This window comes from Homo sapiens, chromosome 2 (genome assembly GCF_000001405.40).
Source record: "Homo sapiens chromosome 2, GRCh38.p14 Primary Assembly".
Classification (NCBI taxonomy): domain Eukaryota; kingdom Metazoa; phylum Chordata; class Mammalia; order Primates; family Hominidae; genus Homo; species Homo sapiens.
The window spans coordinates 221,551,060-221,569,955 of record NC_000002.12 but is presented as its reverse complement, the minus strand read 5'-3'; the positions used below and the strand labels follow the sequence as shown (position 1 = coordinate 221,569,955).

General features: G+C 37.9%; 1 protein-coding gene across 4 annotated transcripts in view; it reads left to right on the top strand.

The window, feature by feature from the left end:
- EPHA4 (EPH receptor A4) overlaps positions 1–18,896 on the top strand; it is a 156,176-nt gene that overhangs the window by 4,247 nt on the left and 133,033 nt on the right. For 3 of the 4 annotated variants that reach the window (NM_001304536.2, NM_004438.5, NM_001363748.2), the window contains 2 exons: positions 1,171–1,238; positions 5,562–6,225. In NM_001304536.2, the coding sequence (NP_001291465.1) occupies positions 1,171–1,238; positions 5,562–6,225 (732 nt within the window). The remainder of the gene's footprint in view (positions 1–1,170; positions 1,239–5,561; positions 6,226–18,896) is intronic. The other variant, NM_001304537.2, reaches the window with a different exon arrangement.

The window sequence follows — 18,896 nt, the reverse complement described above, 5'->3', positions numbered from 1 at the left end:
CAGGGAAGGCTCTACATTTTAAAATCATTAACAGACCCCAGGAATTCAGACTCCCCGGGAAAAGTAGGGGAAAGAGACTGATTTTTAACTCCATTGACTTTGAGGTGAAATGAGAGGGAAAGTGGGCAGAATCCAGGGGTCTGGGGGTAAGCTTGAGTGTTGGGGTGCGCATGAGCACGGATGGCGGCTTCCCATTCCCACCCCTCCCCCAGCCTGAAGAGCCAGCCTGGCTGATCAAATTAATAACCCAGTGGTTCCTTTGAGGTGGGCCTTTCGACCCCCAGGACTGCAGATCTCGGTGGGAAAGAGAGGTTTTGAATTCATTGCGTCCCTTTGGATGTTCCCCTTACCTAGCGCTCTTCTAGCCTGAGCGGGGTACCGCAGCTCGGTGGGCTGTCCTCCCTTCCCCCCAAGCTTTGACGCACTCAGGTGTAGCACAAGCACACTAAAGCCGTTAGGCAGCACTCCATACCTAAAATTCAAGCCAGTGATTTCCTACGGGTGGAAGACGAGTCTCTGATTGTCCCCCAACACATCTTGAGAAAGAGAGAATACTTTCGGTACGTTTGCATTCTGATTCTGCACGTCTGGCATTCCCTCTTTCTGAAACTTTGATATTTAAAAAAGCAGCGGATACCATATTCAGGGACTATTTACTTGGTTGTGGAAGGGAAAATGTTAGGGAGAGCCTTTTCCTGACCCTTTGGATAGGATACTCTCTGATAGAAGAGAGAATTCACTTGTGGCTCTGTCACCCTGATGAGTTATGTGGTCATCTGAAACTTGCAAAAACAAATAATTCTAGTAGATACCAGACAGAGATGAATGCAGATTTTGCTCTGGAGTGTAACTGCTCTACATAGATGTATTTATCTTTTTGAATTGTACTTCAGATTCTCTATTCATCCTTTTTAGAAAAATGAATCAAGTGAGTCCTAGGATGGAATTTTAAATGTTAAGCAAGTTGAATAAATAAGAACCTGCAGATTTAAAGAGGGGGAGAAGATCAAATGAGTAATGATTATTTACATAAGTGAGCCCAAGTTTAGGTTTTGATCAGTGTTGGATATGCACAGCCTCAGCACATATGGAAACGCTCAGGCAAATGGTTTTTGTGTTATTGGCTTTTTGCAATTGGAAATTCATCTATTTTTCTTTTGTTTTTTGCAGTTACCTTATTGGATTCCAGATCTGTTCAGGGAGAACTTGGGTGGATAGCAAGCCCTCTGGAAGGAGGGGTAAGTCCTGAGTTGCTCTCTGATCCAAAGGGTAAAAAAGGAGTGATTAGCAACTTTCTGAGAGTCCTAATGGCTTGATTCTTGTTGATTGTGGTGAGGGGGTCAGATTTCCGCTGTGGCCTATGAAGTGAATTACGCTTTGTTGGAGAAATCCTATACTCCCTTTGGATAACTCTGTCATGGAAGAACTAGAAACCAAAAGGGCAGAAAGGGGTTTCAAAATTAGGAGACTGGTGGAGGCACAGACTTAGATGCCTATTTAAAACTAAAATACCAACAGGAAATATGATCCGGGGACCAAATTAGAATTTATGCCTATTACTGTGATGGCCATGAAGTCCTGACAAGGTTAATTTAAGAGCAATTGTCCTGCTTCCAGATGAAAAAAAAAGAATAAATAAAGATATGAGAGAGAAGACATTTCTAATTGTACCTGCATGAACTGCAGGAAGGCTCTGTACCTTGCTCTCACTCTTAAATCAGCTGCTGTTCTTTTGCACACTGAGAGACAGTCATGTGAACTTGTGTCCAAAAAACCCTAAGCCTGTGTATTAATGGTGCTAAATATGAAAAGTTTATGTGTCTGTAATCTTGAAGAATCTTTGGGGATTGAGTAGTCTGGATTATAAGGTCTGAAAAAAGCATCACTTCATTTATTCTCAAATTTGTAATACTTGTCATTACTGCCTCCATCTTACTAGGTCAACGGCCACATTCTCCTACTCCCCCTAAATAACCAGTCAGAATGAATCAGCTTTGGAAAGAAAACAGTACAACATGTAACTGACTTCTGCCAAACTGAAATAACTCTCAAATCCTTTTAAAATTAAACAAATCATCCTACCTTCACAGGCTTGATAGTTTATGGCTGAGTCCATTGATTAAAAACAATGGGGGTGAAAGATTAGGAGTTTTTACTAGGCAAAAATTGTAATGCTAGAACCTGGCGTGGGCTCCACACCGGTCCATTGAATAAAGAATGAAGGATTTTAAATTAAAGATTCATAGAGTCTGCTATCAAGGACATATTTCAGAACTAAGACTAAGCAAGAAAATAATCATGAAAATGGAGAATTTTAGGCTGTCTTGTTGCAAACAGATTTTGTAATCCACCTGAAATAAAACAGATTGCCCTGTCTTCCTATTTTTTCTGCCTGAACTTGACTGCCATTGGTTTGTTCTCTCCTGAAAAATTCCAGTCTGCCCTTAAAACCATCTTTTTAAAGGAGGGAGGAGTGATTGGCAGGCCTCTGGCAGTGTAGACAGGCTGTATTCACCACTGATTGCAGGCAATTGCCCTCATCCTTTGAATGTGAAGAAAGGTACGGCTTTATCTTGGTGAGAGTCAGACTCATTGTTAATCCTATACCCTGGAAAGGTCACTGATTCAGGCGAGGCTTTCCCAGGCTACATGTACCAGGGGTATTGCTTGGTAGGTTAAAATGTATTAGAACTGCTGGTAAAATTAAGGATGGAAAGTGTCAGTACTTGTATTAATAAATTCAGTGAGCCTTATTTTTCTTACTGGCTGCTTTTAAGTTTGAAGAGAGTATATACATCTAATCAAATTTTGAACCTGACTTGTTTCACTAAATATATGTGTGAGCTATATGACAGCAAGGACTGACACATTTTAGGGTACAGTCCATAGTCTATCTAGTTTCTGGAAAGCTTTTATTGCAATTTAATATGCTGCAGACATTTTTTTCTTCTTCTTCTTCTTCTTCTTCTTCTTCTTCTTCTTCTTCCTCTTCCTCTTCCCCTTCTCCTTCTCCTTCTCCTTCTCCTTCTCCTTCTCCTTCTCCTTCTCCTTCTCCTTCTCCTTCTCCTTCTCCTTCTCCTTCTTCTTCTTCTTCTTCTTCTCCTTCTCCTTCTCCTTCTTCTCCTTCTCCTTCTTCTCCTTCTTCTTCTTCTCCCTCTTCTTCTTCTCCTTCTTCTTCTTCTCCAGAGCTGCTGAAAGAGCACCTGGTCACTTTTTCTAGACACAAAACTTATCTTGGTTGACTTGAGGTCTATTTAAAACTATGCAGAGCTGACTGTATACGACCCAGTACTTTTAATGGGCTGGATATAAGCAGGTTTTTTTTTCTTTTCCTTAAATATTAGGCATGTAACATTTTAAGCATTATTGTAAGATAAATAATTTTATTTGTATATAAAAGAATTAGTCATTCCAAAATACACAGTAGCCATTGAGAAATTGTGTCAAGTTATAAAGTTTAATTAATTTCTAGATTTTATAATTGACGAGGACTTTTTCAGGATTAGAGCAAAGGAATGAATTGGGTATCTGTCAATGAGGAATGGATTGATTGTCTTTAAAAAGTTCTTTCTAGCTGAGAGTAAAAGCATATTGAGTCTTGATCATTCTAAAATCTCTGCTTGCAGTTAGGACATTTAATGTCTTTATTCACTGTTAACTTGAGATAGTAATTTGGTCTGATAATGACATTTATTTCTTGTTGTTATGTTTAAAAAGAAAAAAAAACAACTTGATTTGACAATACCACCAAGGAAAATATAAATTAGAATCAGAGACAATCCATTGTTTGTCTATAAGAACAACTAAGCAAGACATGAGAATTAGGGAAAGTGATGGCTCCTGATAACATCGTTGTAGCCAAAAGCTACTTTCTTGGTAATATTCACTTAAAAGAGTATATTGAGTTGCTGACACTGACTGTGAAATATAAAACTAAGGGAGGATTTGTCACTGTTCCAGTGAATTGATCAGTGTGGTTAGACAATTACGTTCAGGCTGCAAAGTTCATATTAGACCTGAATTATCCTGCATGAACTCTGTAGAGATACCCTATGTGCCTTCATTGACAAATGTGTTTTTCCAAATTCCCATTGTTCTGAGAAGAGAAGCATGCTGAGTAGGTGTTTTTGAAGATGGGAATCTATTTTTGGATTTACATGAATTTCCTAAAATAAGTAAATTACTGGTGATTTTATTGCTTACTGGATAAAAAGAAATTTTCATCACCACAGGGCACTTACCCCCTCCTAGTTTCAACTTTTATAATGGTGGCAGATGAAAAGGATACAGAATTTTATGGCTTATGGTCCTTCACATAGTAACATTTCCATCCATTAAGAGTTTGCCAGTGCATAGTTGGGAAACCTATTAAAAGATACATTATGATTCTATGCACTTCACTGGACTGCATGGAGCTTTACCTGGAGCTATTACAGAATACAATTTTTTAAAAAAACTATCTCTTGTTCCTTCTAATTATATTCATATGTTTGTTAAATACTTAAGCTGATTTATAACAGATCTGTATCAATGCATTACTGTAGATGTTAATGAAGAATTTGAGGCTGCCTACCAGCTTAGTAGGAGTCCCAAAAGTTTTGCTGCTTTTCGGATTATTTTTAAAAGCTATAATGACAGTGAAACTTTTAGTCACAGTGGTAGACGCAAGTTGTCCTACCATTAGATTCTTTGTGTTAGGAAGTGGAATGCAAAGAAAATGCTACCATCTCCTTTCATTTTCTTGGGCCTTCAGTCATAAACAGCACTTGCTATTTTATTTTTAATGTCCACGGAAGAGTTAGAAGCAAAGCATGTCTGTTTTCTAGTTTTGTTATTTGTCTATGTTTTAAAAATGAGAACATGTACAAATTTTTTAATTGAATACACAGTCTTGAAAAGTTGTCTACTGTTATAAATGATAGCATATTTGAGAAATCCAGCCATAAAATTTACTCCCTGTCTTCCTAGGATTACTGAAACCAGAATGGTGGGATTTTCTTTTCACCTTTAAAGAGTAGTGAGGGTGCCAAAAAAATCAATTGCCTTTTTTTTTTTTTTTTTTTTTTTTGAGGTATTAGAGAGCAAAGTTCTGACAGGAGCACTACTAATTAACTGATAATTGTCTTCCTTTGGCAAGCTCTGCTCTTCCTGCCCTTAATTTGCAGGTCTCTGCTCAGTGGTTGAAACAATACCCATACTAGTTTTTCCTTTATGAGTAAATTTGAACTGTTGCCACTTGAAATTGTAGCTGTTGTAATAGGTGAATTTGAGGTTGTTGGACCACCACAAGGAACTGCCGAGAACTCACAAGCAGTAAATCCACCATTGCCTCTGGATTTCAGGCAAAAGATTGAAACAATTAAACAAACAAAAAAAAAACTTCCTCAATAAAATATTGTCTTATCTCCCATAAGATCCTTTATTAGTGATGATTGGTGCTCAGTAGTTTGCTTCATTATTGAAAGAAAAATAATCAGGTGTCCTATGAGAATAAAATGGGATTGACAAATCACTGCATGATGAAACTTTGTAGTTGATACATCTGCTTTGGATCTTTGCAGTGGGAGGAAGTGAGTATCATGGATGAAAAAAATACACCAATCCGAACCTACCAAGTGTGCAATGTGATGGAACCCAGCCAGAATAACTGGCTACGAACTGATTGGATCACCCGAGAAGGGGCTCAGAGGGTGTATATTGAGATTAAATTCACCTTGAGGGACTGCAATAGTCTTCCGGGCGTCATGGGGACTTGCAAGGAGACGTTTAACCTGTACTACTATGAATCAGACAACGACAAAGAGCGTTTCATCAGAGAGAACCAGTTTGTCAAAATTGACACCATTGCTGCTGATGAGAGCTTCACCCAAGTGGACATTGGTGACAGAATCATGAAGCTGAACACCGAGATCCGGGATGTAGGGCCATTAAGCAAAAAGGGGTTTTACCTGGCTTTTCAGGATGTGGGGGCCTGCATCGCCCTGGTATCAGTCCGTGTGTTCTATAAAAAGTGTCCACTCACAGTCCGCAATCTGGCCCAGTTTCCTGACACCATCACAGGGGCTGATACGTCTTCCCTGGTGGAAGTTCGAGGCTCCTGTGTCAACAACTCAGAAGAGAAAGATGTGCCAAAAATGTACTGTGGGGCAGATGGTGAATGGCTGGTACCCATTGGCAACTGCCTATGCAACGCTGGGCATGAGGAGCGGAGCGGAGAATGCCAAGGTAAGAGGGTCCATATTGCAGTTTTTTCACTGGGGCTTAGTGCGAGTAATTAAATCAGAGATGAGACTAAATGGAGTAAAGCCAGTAATTAGTAGCCCCTGTGGGATGTGGTGGGACACAGGGGTCTAATGAGTAAGTGCTATAGCTCCAGGTGGCAAAGCTAAGACGTTTCTAATACTGACAAAATAAATGATGCTGCTGTAATCAGCAGAAAGCCAAACACATTTGCTAACAGGCACTTATATCTGAACTGGCTTGATGCGCCCTCTGAAATGTAAATGAACAAGCTGAAGAAACAGCCTTGATTGATCCTTACTTAAAGAGGGCGGACACATTTTTGAGCCATAGTTTTCCTGTCTATGGACTTGGTAAAATGACAAAGATTGTTAAATATCTCCCGTCTTCTGCATAAGTGCGTGAATGATCTAAATGTGAAATTAGGATTAAGTTGTTCCAGTTCCCTCCCACTGACTAAAATCGAGTGAAGAAAGTCCATTTTTTCTTTCTGCCTTGTGGACCGGTGGAGATATGACCCAACAAAGTGGAGGGACATTGCTTCAAGTACATTCTGTTCCCTGAACACCCACCGATGGGTTCTCTAAATGAAATTAATCTTGATGAAAGACCTCTTTATTTCTCTTAGGAGGTGGTAATTAAGCAAGCAAGAGTCTTCTTATTTGATCTGTGGTCAGAAGCAATAGCAAATTGTGACCCAATTTGGTATTGATTTCAGTTATTGAGTTTTTGAAGAAATCTATGTATTTTTATCACATTAATTACTACTTACCATATTACTAAGTGGATTTTTTTTTCTCACCTCAGGTTCAGTGTATGCAGTTGATTCTTGCTTTTTTACCCCTTCCTGTCAGAATACTGGGGAGTGTATAAAGTCCTTTGCTTTACAGAAAGTTTATATCTGAGTAAGAGATGAGAGTAATTCCTATTTATACAGATTGTTTGTCATGTGTGAAATAAGGCTCAAAAATATCTTTTATTCCAAGTTTTTGTCTTGCTTGATACTTGTTTTTATAATGTAGTTATCAACAGTCTGCGGCTGCCAATCCATTATGGTTACTACAAAATAGTTAGAATGTAATTCTGGTCTCATCTATGGAACAATCAGATTAATCTTTTCTCTGGGTAATTGTTGAGCTGTAGATGGCATTGCCACATGGTTCATCTGATTTGGTGGTTAAAGGGCCTGAATTAACTGACTGCCAAACAATTTGTCTGGCATTTCAACCATTCTAATGACAGGGTGGGATTAACTATGGGGCAATCCACTTGATTGACTGAAAATCCAGTTAGAACATGAAGAAAATTGCATTTTTTGGTGATTTGGTGTCATAAAGTTACACGTTACTCCATTCATAGTTTACACTTGTCTGAAGTGGCATTCCTGCTTAGCTATAGTTATTTCTAGGAGTAACTAACAGTGAATGTTCTTTCATTTTGTGGTAAATAGAAAAAAGAGTGGCTATCTTTTCTGTTGACTCAGTGTTAAAAATTCAAAAAAAAAAAAAGGAAATGTGTAAATTTAAAAGTTTACAAGTTGGAATTTAAGGATTTTTAAAATAAAGATTAAGGCCTCGATTTTTGGTTTGCTCTTGACTTAGCAACTACTAGATAAGCTGTACTGAATTGGTAACCCAAAGTATATTCTGGTATTAATATAAGAAAATATGTGAGTGCATTGTTACTGGCAACTAAATTACTATGATCATAGCAGGAACAGTGAAATGAGCAGGGCAATGACATGCCATCACATTTTAGAGTAAATTATTCTGCCTTTTCCGTTTTGTAAGACAGGAGCCGCACATCTTCACATGTCAAGATTCTTATATATATTTTTAAAAAAACAACATTGGCTTCCATTTCCTGCTAAAATGTTCACTCTCAGCATTAGCACATCTTCGTGTATCTAATGTCATTGATTTTCAATTGTCACAGAGCCTAGTAACTCATACATTGCTACATTGTGAAACTCCTTGACATTTTTACAACCAAAATTAGAAAGAAAAGAGAAAAAGATGGTGGGCAAAGTGAATATAAAAGCAATCGAACATTTTTCTGGTTTGCTTTATGGAAATAGTCTTGGGGGATCCAGTTAATCACGTGCGTCCTCGAAGGGGAGGAATTTAGGGTTTCAAATCTAGTCCACTTCCGAGCAAGCTGTTCCTAACATGAGGCCAGATATTTCACAGCAGAAGCAGGTGGATTGAGTCGTTTTTGAGAAACTTCAGTGTTTTCAGGTGTGTCAACCAAGTTTGTTTTTGTTTTTTGTTTTTGTTATTTTGCTTTTTTTTCTGCTAATAAAATGATTAACTCTTTCAAGACACTTTTTGCACAAGACCTTGCACTTTGGTTGTTTGTTTCTGTTATTGCCATGTAAAAATTTCTGATGTAGTTAGGTAAGAAAAAACTTGAATGACAAAGGATTCCAAGCTTGAGTGAGACTTTATTTATTTATTTATTTATTTATTTATTTTGAGATGGAGTCTAGCTCCATCGCCCAGGCTGGAGTGCAGTGGCGCGATCTTGGCTCACTGCAAGCTCTGCCTCCCGGGTTCACTCCATTCTCCTGCCTCAGCCTCCCAAGTAGCTGGGACTACAGGCGCCCGCCACCACGCCTGGCTAATTTTTTGTATTTTTAGTAGAGACGGGGTTTCACCGTGTTAGCCAGGATGGTCTCCATCTCCTGACCTCGTGATCCACCCGCCTTGGCCTCCCAAAGTGCTGGGATTACAGGCGTGAGCCACCGCGCCCAGCCAGAGTGAGACTTTTAAAAGATGACTTGAGACTCTAAAAGTCTTAGGAATAATAAAAACAGTTGGCCCTATCCTTGATATCATGATAGGCATCAAGAGTAGCACCCAGGCACAGTGGAAATAATATAGAGACGAGGAAAGATGTATGAATTTGGTCACTTAGCTAGATGACCTTGAGCATGTTTCTTAAGCCCTGTGAGCCTTGGTTTGTTCATCCATAAAATGGGATGATAATAGTTATATTTAGTTTACAGACTTGCAATGAGGACTTGGGGTTGTAAGATTGGTAAAAGTCACCTCAGAGATCATGCAACAACTTGATACTAGCATTTCTGTTGTCATTGTGCTCTTCCCAAGGTCATAGCTATTGACTTTTAAGAGCGTTGAGTTGAAATAGTAGAAGGAAAATCCATCCCCTGACCACTCCTTGATATCAAGGCTAAAGATAGGAAGCATCTCTCTCCTTTGCCCTAACAAATAATAATATACGTTTTCACACTTTGTATTGAAAATATTATATGGAGTATGTCATTTTTTTTTCCTCCTCGATAGGAAAGAGAAACTTCCTTTGAACGAGCAAAAAGTGACTTGTGGGTAGGACAAGAAAGAGGGTGTAAAGAAAGCTTAAGAAGGAATATAAAGGAAAACTGGCCAAGTCTTCAGAACTCTGGCAGCAGTTTCCTCCCCAATTGTCTTTTCAATGGTTCTACTGTGGCAGGACAAATAGAAGAACAGGTGAAAGGTCACCTACTTCCTCATCCATCTTCCTTGGGGTCCGGGAGGTCAGAGGGAAGATTGATTAAGATCTTAAATGTTTGACAAAGGATCCTTGGGCAAAAATGGGCAGGGCGGGCGGGGGCCTGGGGTGTGCTGTTGTTTGACTCTAACCCTGATCATCCACTGAGTCGTCAAAGGACCTTGGGGACAGAACTACACTTCCTCTTGCAGTTCCTACCCCCAGCAGTACATGCTAATGGAGAGGAAGGATGAGGGCAGGGGGATGGTGGCTTTGCCCTCTGAAGCAGAGGCAAGTTCATTCTGCTCTTGAATAACATTTTCTGAAATGATTTGGCTTGGTCTCAGTAGAACAACAATGTGTATGAGCTACTTACCCATCTTCTCAAGGAGAATGTATCGCAGGAGTTAGCAGCCCTTTGAACTTGCCTAGTGATTGGATGCAGAGGATAATATAATGATTCTAGTTAGTCCTGCTTCCAGGCCACATCAGACTGTTGGAAAAAGGAAACAAAATCCACTTCAGACATCTCCTTCCGGACAGACATACCCCTAATGAAGAAATGTTCCAGATGTTTTACAGGACTGTTTTCATTACTTTAGAAATAGTAAGCAGAAGGAAGAGAGGAAAATATTCCATTAAATTTTTTTTTAATTTATTTTTTATTATTTGTTTTTTAACATAAGAGATGAAGTCTCACTCTGTTGCCTAGGCTGGTCTTGAACTCCTGGCCTCAAGTGATCCTACCTCAGCCTCTCAAAGTGCTGGGATTACAGGTGTGAGCCACCTCACCCAGCCAAAAAGATTCGTTATTAGTGTATTTTTTGCTTAATTAAAAAGCTGAAAAATGAAAGGAGAGCTCCAGATTTTCTCTTTGGGAAATACTAATCAGCAGTTTTCAGAGCATACATATAAAAAATAATACCAATAAAAACATTCTTTTGGAGTCACTCTTAAGGCCAAATGATTACAACTATGACAAAATTAAGCTAGGTAAGAATCAAGCCTTGCTGAAGTATACAATTTTGTTGTATATTGAGGTCATCAGTATTAAAATGTACTCATATCAACAAAAGGTATCGTATTAAAAGCTTTTTAAAGAAAGAACAAGATAGAAATGTTCCAATGGTTTTAAAATAAACAGACTTGTGCTCTGAAAAGAGGAAGAGAGCTATGTCAAAAAAAATGATTTCTTTTTTCAACTATACTATAGAAGGAGCTTAGGAGAAAGAAGTAATGGAAAGGAAATATTTAAAATCTACTTCACAGAGATGCTGCTTCCATATCCTTTGCACTGTTGAAATTTTTCCTCTACCTTTGAATCGTATCATTAAGAATCAATTGCTTGAATCACATGGCTGCTTTTATCTCCGGCTTTGAAGCATGGCTGTGATCATTGAAAAAATGTAATTCTTTATCTATAAGAGAGCAGCGTTTAATTATTGTCCTTTTTCTGATATACTTTTTTTTTTCCTCTTTGTGTGACCAGGCTGCCTTTGTGAGTGTGAATCATGCAATAGTCTCTATTTGGGGTTCACCAAAACATCGCATAGAAATCATCTCAGGGATTTTTGAATATGGTATTCAAGATTTGATGACTTATTTTAGTCTAACTGAGCTTCCTTGTATCTTTCAGAAATGAATTAACACATAATTATTCTGTTAAGATCTGAGCCTCTAGGAAAAAGCCTTCTTAAGTGGTTTTTCAGTTACTGCTGTGCAAAGCAGGGGTGGTCATGATATAAGTTTGACTTTCACATAACTGAACTTTACTAGTTAATGGCGGGGGGTGGGGGAACGGGTAATTGGTAAATTTAACATTAGCAAAGGACTGCATGCTTGTCAGATAAATTTCTCATATAGAATTACATAAAGTAAAAATTGTAAGTCTACCATTCCCTGCCCACACACACACACACCCACATCCACCCATACATACACACACACAGTTTTCAAAAGCTTACTCCAACATTTTACAAGTTACCATTTTTCACAATTTGGCAGGCAACTCAAATATAGCCATATACATGTATTTTTAAAATAATAGATGGAATCATCCTTGTAATTGTCATCCTGTTTTTATGATGCTTGACTGTCATAGATATCGCTGTATATTAGAGAATATAGCTTTTCTTAATTCTCCTTCATTGAAGATGAATATTCTGTAGTATAAGTATACCATGCTTTATTTAATGTTTTCGTTATTGGTAGCTATCTAGGTTGTCTCAGTATTTCCTAGTAATACTTTTAAACTAACACATTAATGTGTAATCATACATGTATATTTTTGTTAAAACATTGAATGATTAACCTTGCTTTGCTATTTTTCTGCCTTTATCTTGGACATATGAATTTAGTAGAACTTCCTTATGAGAATGTCAGTGGGGGGAGCATTAGGCATAACCAAAGTAGTAACATCGATTATTTGGTGGAGTTATGTTTCATGGAATCAATATGATATGTTAAAATCTTTGCATGTGACTAATGTATTAATGAGGTCCTTGTTCATGATTTCTACTCAATTGGGTCCTTTTTAAATCGTGTTTATGAATCTTCTTTACATCTGAACCTTCAAAATTCTCTGCAGCACATGAAGTTAACATACAGTTAGCACAAAATGGCCAAGAACTGCCTTTGGAGTTGAGCCACTTAATCAGATGTGCAATTGTAGACACTAACTTAGCTTCCCTAAACTCAAGTTCACGTTTGCAAATTGGTGGCAATAGTATCTTATTATATATGACACACATATATGCATGAATGTATAAAGGGCCTGGCACAGTGCCTAGAATCATTAAAATGCTTAGAAAGTGAAAATTGTTACTCTTATTTTTATTGTTGTTAGATAGAAATATGGTGACAATATGGGCTGTTTGATCAATCCAACAAAGAAACCATTTCATTTAGGTTCCAGAGTAGAGAGTTTTTTGTTTGGTTGGTTTTGATCTTCTGAGGAGGCAATGGTGACAAATACAGGGAAGAGTGAAGCGATGGTACCAAATGGCTGGTCTTGTCTACATTGATCCAATCCTCTGTGCCCCAAGTCACTGTGGTTCTCCATGTGGTCCAGCTATGTTCCCCAAGACCCTTTCATGTGGTCTGCAAGGTCAAAACTTTCTTAATAACACTAAGATGTTATTTGCCTTTTTTTTCTAATTCTCTCATGAGTGAACAGTGGAGTTTTCCAGAAGCTAACTGATGTATGATAATGTTATTAAGTTGAATACAGAAGCAAATACAGTGATCCCCTTTAACTTTGGACGATATGTTCCAAGACCCTCAATAGATGCTGAAAGCTCAAATAGTACCAAACCCTTATACATTATGTTTTTTCTATACATATGTACCTATGCTAAAGTTTAAGTTATAGATTAAGCACAGTAAGAGAATGCCAACAACAATAATAAAATAGAACAATTATAACAATATATCTTAATAAAAATTATGTGAATATAGCCTCTCTCTATCGTTTTTTCTATCCCTTTCTCAAAAATATCTTACTGTACTGTACCTTCGGTAGGCAAAACCACAGAAAGCCAAATCATGGATATGAGGAGACTACTGTAAAAGAATCTGGTTGTCCTCTATTAAGCCAGACATTCAAGAATATGAAAAAAAAAAGTAGTGACTGGGCGCAGTGGCTCACGCCTGTAATCCCAGCACTTTGGGAGGCTGAGGCAGGTGGATCACGAGGTCAGGAGTTTAAGACCAATATGTTGAAACCCCAGCTCTACTAAAAAAAAAAAAAAAAAAAATACAAAAATTAGCTGGGCATGGTGGTGTGAGCCTGTAGTCCCAGCTACTCAGTAGGCTGAGCCAGGAGAATCGTTTGAACCTGGGAGATGGAGGTTGTATTGAACCAAGATCTCACCACTGCACTCCAGCCTGGGCGATACAGCGAGACTCTGTCTCAAAAAAGAAAGAAAGAAAGTAGTAAAACAATGTCACTTTTCTCACTAAGTTTACTTTTGTTTTGGACAACAGTGTTTAAAATATGCTATTTGTGTTAACATGCAATGCGTTAATTGTTATTTTTCAATGAATTAAAAATAATTTAAAAATTTATTTTTCAGTTTCAATTTGTATTGGTAAATATTAGTAGTTATAACTCACACACACGAAAACATTCTCAATAATTTTTGAGAGTATAAAATGTTTGAGAGTTCGGTTCTGAGGCCGAAAATGTTGAGAACTACTGCACCTAGTCCATCACTTTTCAGTTTCTTTGGAAGGTAACACAGACTGCACTTCTGCAGGTCATGGAGAGGCTTTAAAAATGAAAATGAAATCAAGCCCTAAAAACTTTTTCATAATCTGGGAGACTTAGGTAGTTTAGAAGAATGACATTTTATTTACTCAACCCTTTAGACATTTCTATAAAATTAGGCAGCAATTTATAGCTCTTGGCTTTTTAAAAACTGGTTATCTGTGTCCAATAACATGGCTCAGTGCTCCCTTTAGTTTTACTGTGCTCGTGAGAAGGAATGATTAAAGAAGGCCTCAGCTGTCCCCTGTACCCCGAGAGACTGTATCTCACTTAAGGCATAAAAGCTTTCTCCCTGTATCCTGTTACAGCTGGTACCTCTGAGCTGTTTTGGGGAGGAGAACAGGTGAGGTCACTTGGTTCCATGATCTGGAGGGTAATTAAGAATCCCATGACTAAATGAACATTTTATGAATATTCAGGGTCTATTTCTTTTTCCTGGGAAACACACATGTTGGTACTGCTTACAACTCCCTTTGGAGACCTCAGCCTTTTCTGGGTGAATGCAGGTCGTCAGCTGTCTGCCCAGCCCTGCAGTTCCAGGCAGCAGATTCTTCATTTGCATATTCTGTATTCGTCCTCATGCAAAACAGCACACCCATTTCCCCCTTTCACAAAGGCAATGAGGGCTTCCTTTGGAAACCCCAGCCAAAATCTCCTTCTGTTTATGCAGAGCCCAATGATTTAGACACCATGCAAATTAATTCGGTTTTGATTTGAATGCTTCCAGAGATCAGGGGTGGGAGGCAGAGAGGAGACTATTTGCACAGGGCTCTTTTTATGCACCTCTGCCCCCAGTGTGGCTGGTTGTCACTCTCCGGCCCCCCTGCCCCATGCAAAATAACCCAAGTCCCTGCTGCTCATTTCATTTTGACCTTTGGAAAAGGAACCCAGCCTTGGTGAATCCCTTGGCTTGTCTGTTTAGTGACAGCTTCAGCTGGAATCTTGCTGTTCTTTCTGAGGTGGGAGGGGATGGCACTATTCAGATTATGCTAGGAATGTTCAGATGTGTCCCAACAAAGGGCTTTAAAAAATTGTAAAGTAAAAGATACAATTCTTTGAAAAAGAATTGTCAGAGCTCAGGAAGTTCTGAAAATAGGCCTTAGGTCACTAATGGGCTGGAGTCCATTCATGCCATCAGTGAGTAGATATTTAAAGTCTATGATGTACAAATCACCACTGGGATTTTCATCTGTGTTTCTTCATCTATGAACGAATACATCAATCTTCATACCTAGAATCACAATTAAAATTTCATATTTTCACTTATGTCCCCAGATAAAATTCTTTAAAATGTGTATTGACTATAATTCTGTTTCTTATTATATTTGTGGATTCACTTTTTGTTGAATATTGTCTTTTGTTTCTGTCTCCCTCCTCCCCACTCCCCCCAGTGTCTCCAAATTTACTTATTTTTTAACCTTACCTTTATTCCTTCTAGAATGGGAAGGCAAGCGTACTGCATATTTTACCCAACAAACTTAACTCTGGTTGAAACCAGCACTATCTTCTGAAAGGCCACGATCATATATGCATTCTATAAACTAGAAGAAGAGGACTTTGCATGAAATGTTTTTGAAGTTCAATTAGACTTGAGTTCAAACTAATTTCACAGAGCAGAAAATGGGCATAGCTAGACGTTGCAGTCTAATTAAGTAAAAGCAAAGTCAGTTAAAACAACATCTAAATGTGGAAGAGCTTTGGTTTTGCTCCACATGGTCTGACAAAGTTTGATGATGCTGTTCAAAGTCCATTTGGGATGGATTATTAGGATTAAAGAGCAGCAGAATGCTCTCTGTACATGGTGTGTTCCCTGGTGTCATTAGCGGATGAGAAAATTCAGCTGCTTATCTGGCTCTTGTTTCTCAGGATGGATTTAAACAGACCCACACTTCTCAAAGGTGATCTTACTAACCTCTTCTTAATAAGTTACAGATCTCAAATTGCTCAAAATCCTTAAAATACCATTTGAAGTAAGTTGATTGATAATTATCATTTCCCTTCCGTTTACAGATATTTTCTGCACCAGTACAAAGCTGTGGTACAGTTTCTTAATTACCCAGATAATCCTGTTTGCTTGTATTTTTAAACTATGAAGTGCTGGGTAATTATTCAATTCTTAATAGAAGGCAAATGGCAATGTAAACAATAATTAGGATGTTAGACAGACTAATGCGCTTCAAAGCAAATTGGATTTTTTTCATACTGTTCAGCTTGAAGTCCCATAAAGCTAACAATTTAGAAGCAAGGCGAAAAAGGTTCCATGTTGTTCATATTTTATGGCGTTATCTCTTCATGGCTTGTTTCTGTGAATAGCAGTTTGCCCCAATGAAGCTGCCTGTGCCCAAGCCAAATGTTTCTGTAACAATCGCTTCCCTGCTGTTTGACATTTGGCTATGTTCTCCCAGGGCTCCAGATTGGGCCTTTGTCTGCTTCAGATCTGAGGGGTCAGAGGTTAACAGAATACTGATTTCCTCCTATAATACCATGGCAGGTAAATATGGGCCAACCTCATGATCAGTTAAGACTCAGCTCAGTTAGGAATGCTTTTTCTCTTGGGCTTTTGTCCTTAAGAACTTCCCTGATTTAAGACTTCACGTTTCCCAGCTATTGCTTTCCACAGTGGATTCTTCATTAGGATCGCAGCTGTCTCTTTTATGTGACTTCTTCCTTTAATAACCGTTCGCAACTAACTATCCCCAGAAATACCTGAGCTGAAAACTACAAGCAAATTATTGCTTTTGATGAATGAATTTTACAAACTGAATATGGTAATACTTTGCAATCTTTAGGCCCTTAATTATGTCTTGTAGTCTTATCCCTACTGTATGTTTCACTGATGAAATAATAAACTGATAACAAAGGCAGTAAACAAAGATACTTTTATAATGTGGCAATTCCCCAACCCCTCCTTTTTCTTGTCTAGCCTCATGATGTGTTGCCAGTTAGAGGTGCAATTAAATGAACAATCAGTTTTATTTTCCATTTTCATCACTTATGGAGAGGCCCAAGTATTCATCAATATCAATGTTATTAATGTTTTACATCAGTTTAATTATATCAGCCTTAATTTTTCTTCCATAGACTAATGTTACTAAATAGGTTGCATCTTAATTGGTTATGATGCATTCACAGGCTTTAGACATTTAAAATACTCGATCAAATTTCTCGATCAAAATTCATCAATTAATTTTAGGACATCTTTCTACATATTAGCTATCCTGTTTGTGTTTGGCCAACCTCTCTTGCTTTGCACTGTGAACTTGAGGCTTGGATTCATTTGTTTTCAGATTTAAGTGTTTAAAAAAGACATCTCCACTTTGAAAAACAGTTTCCTTTTGAAGTGCCCAGCCTGGCAATGGCTGAAGCAGCCCCAGGCAAATTAACATGTTAAAAGAATGGATCAATACCTTTCTGGCTCCTTTACCCTCCTCGCACTCTTCCAAGGGAGAAGAGTTTTGAAGAACCCTAGGAGGCCCTTGACAGAGGTGCCAGGAGGCTTCAAGAGGACTGTCAGTAGCCCAAGTGGGGAACATTGACAGCTTGATCTAGTGCCCAGATCGCTTCTCCGCTGGCCATTTGAAAATGGATGCAAGAGGAATTGACAGCTTCAGGAAAGCTTTAGCCGTTCATGTAATTATGGAGAGGATTAGAAGAAAAGTGTTGGGTGACATAAGAGATCAATACAAGGGCACTAGTTGACTGAATTCACCTTTAGCTGTTAGGGCACTCCATTTTGTAATATTTAGCCTGTGCTTAGAGAAGAATGTTTGATAGGCTTGTTTATTTTTTTAGGGGTTGTGTAGACCTATGCATAAGAAAAAGAAGACATAAGCAGCCTCTGGTTTTTGAGCGTGGACTTGTAGATAATTAACAATGTAATGCTTCCAGTCCTTAGGGTGCAAAGGTACTAATTAACTAATGGGAGAGATTGAGATTTCATTACTGTGTTCTTTAAGGAGGTGCCAGCAAAGAAGTGCAGTTGAAAGTAATATATGAATATTCAGGTTTCTTTTTCAAACCCTTTCTTTTAGAATTGCCTCTCTGCTTGTATCCTAGAGTTTAAAATTAGCACTGATACACTAAACCAAGGTAAGAGTGTGGTTGTTTTTGTAAGAAAAAAAAACTCATGTTGATGGAGAAGTGAAAACATTATCTTTGCATGAATGAAAAGCGTCTTTAAAAGATTTGGAATCAACCACTGAATGGTCTCAAATGATCTGACTTTTGGAAGTTTTCCTCCATAGGATAAAGAATGGCTAGTGTACTTAACTAAAATAAGCCCAAGTACCTAATTTATTCTAGCCTTCATACATGATTCTGGGATTCTCTTGTACAACATGTTGGAGCTACAACTTTTTCAATAATTTTAAATGGTTACTGAATATGACAAGAATCCTACACTATAATTTCAGCAATTGTACTAAAACTTTTTAAAAAGCATTGTTAGATCTTTCTTCTAGAGAACCATAAAATCTTTTACTGAAGAGAAGTAATGTTTTACCGTATGAAAATCATAACTTTTATTGCAACTTTGAAAACTAGATACACTAAAAAGAACCCCTCCCCAAAAAGGATTGTTGACTTCTACAAGAGATAGTGATTAGAAAACACAACCCATTGAGTTTTTCCAATATTTTCAATTATATCTTCTAGCTGGTTATCACTGATCTACAGGAAAGCTATTGATTTTTGTATGTTTATCTTACATCCAATCTTCTTATTGAACTATCTTGTGAATACTAATAAGTTTTCAGTTAATTCTCCGGAGTTTTCTAGAGAGCAAATAGTTTCCATTGCAAACAATCATATATGTATTTTTCTCTTATTTAAAAAATTAAGCCTCTTATTTCAAACTTTTATATTACAACATTGGTCAGAATTTTCAGACCAATAATAAATA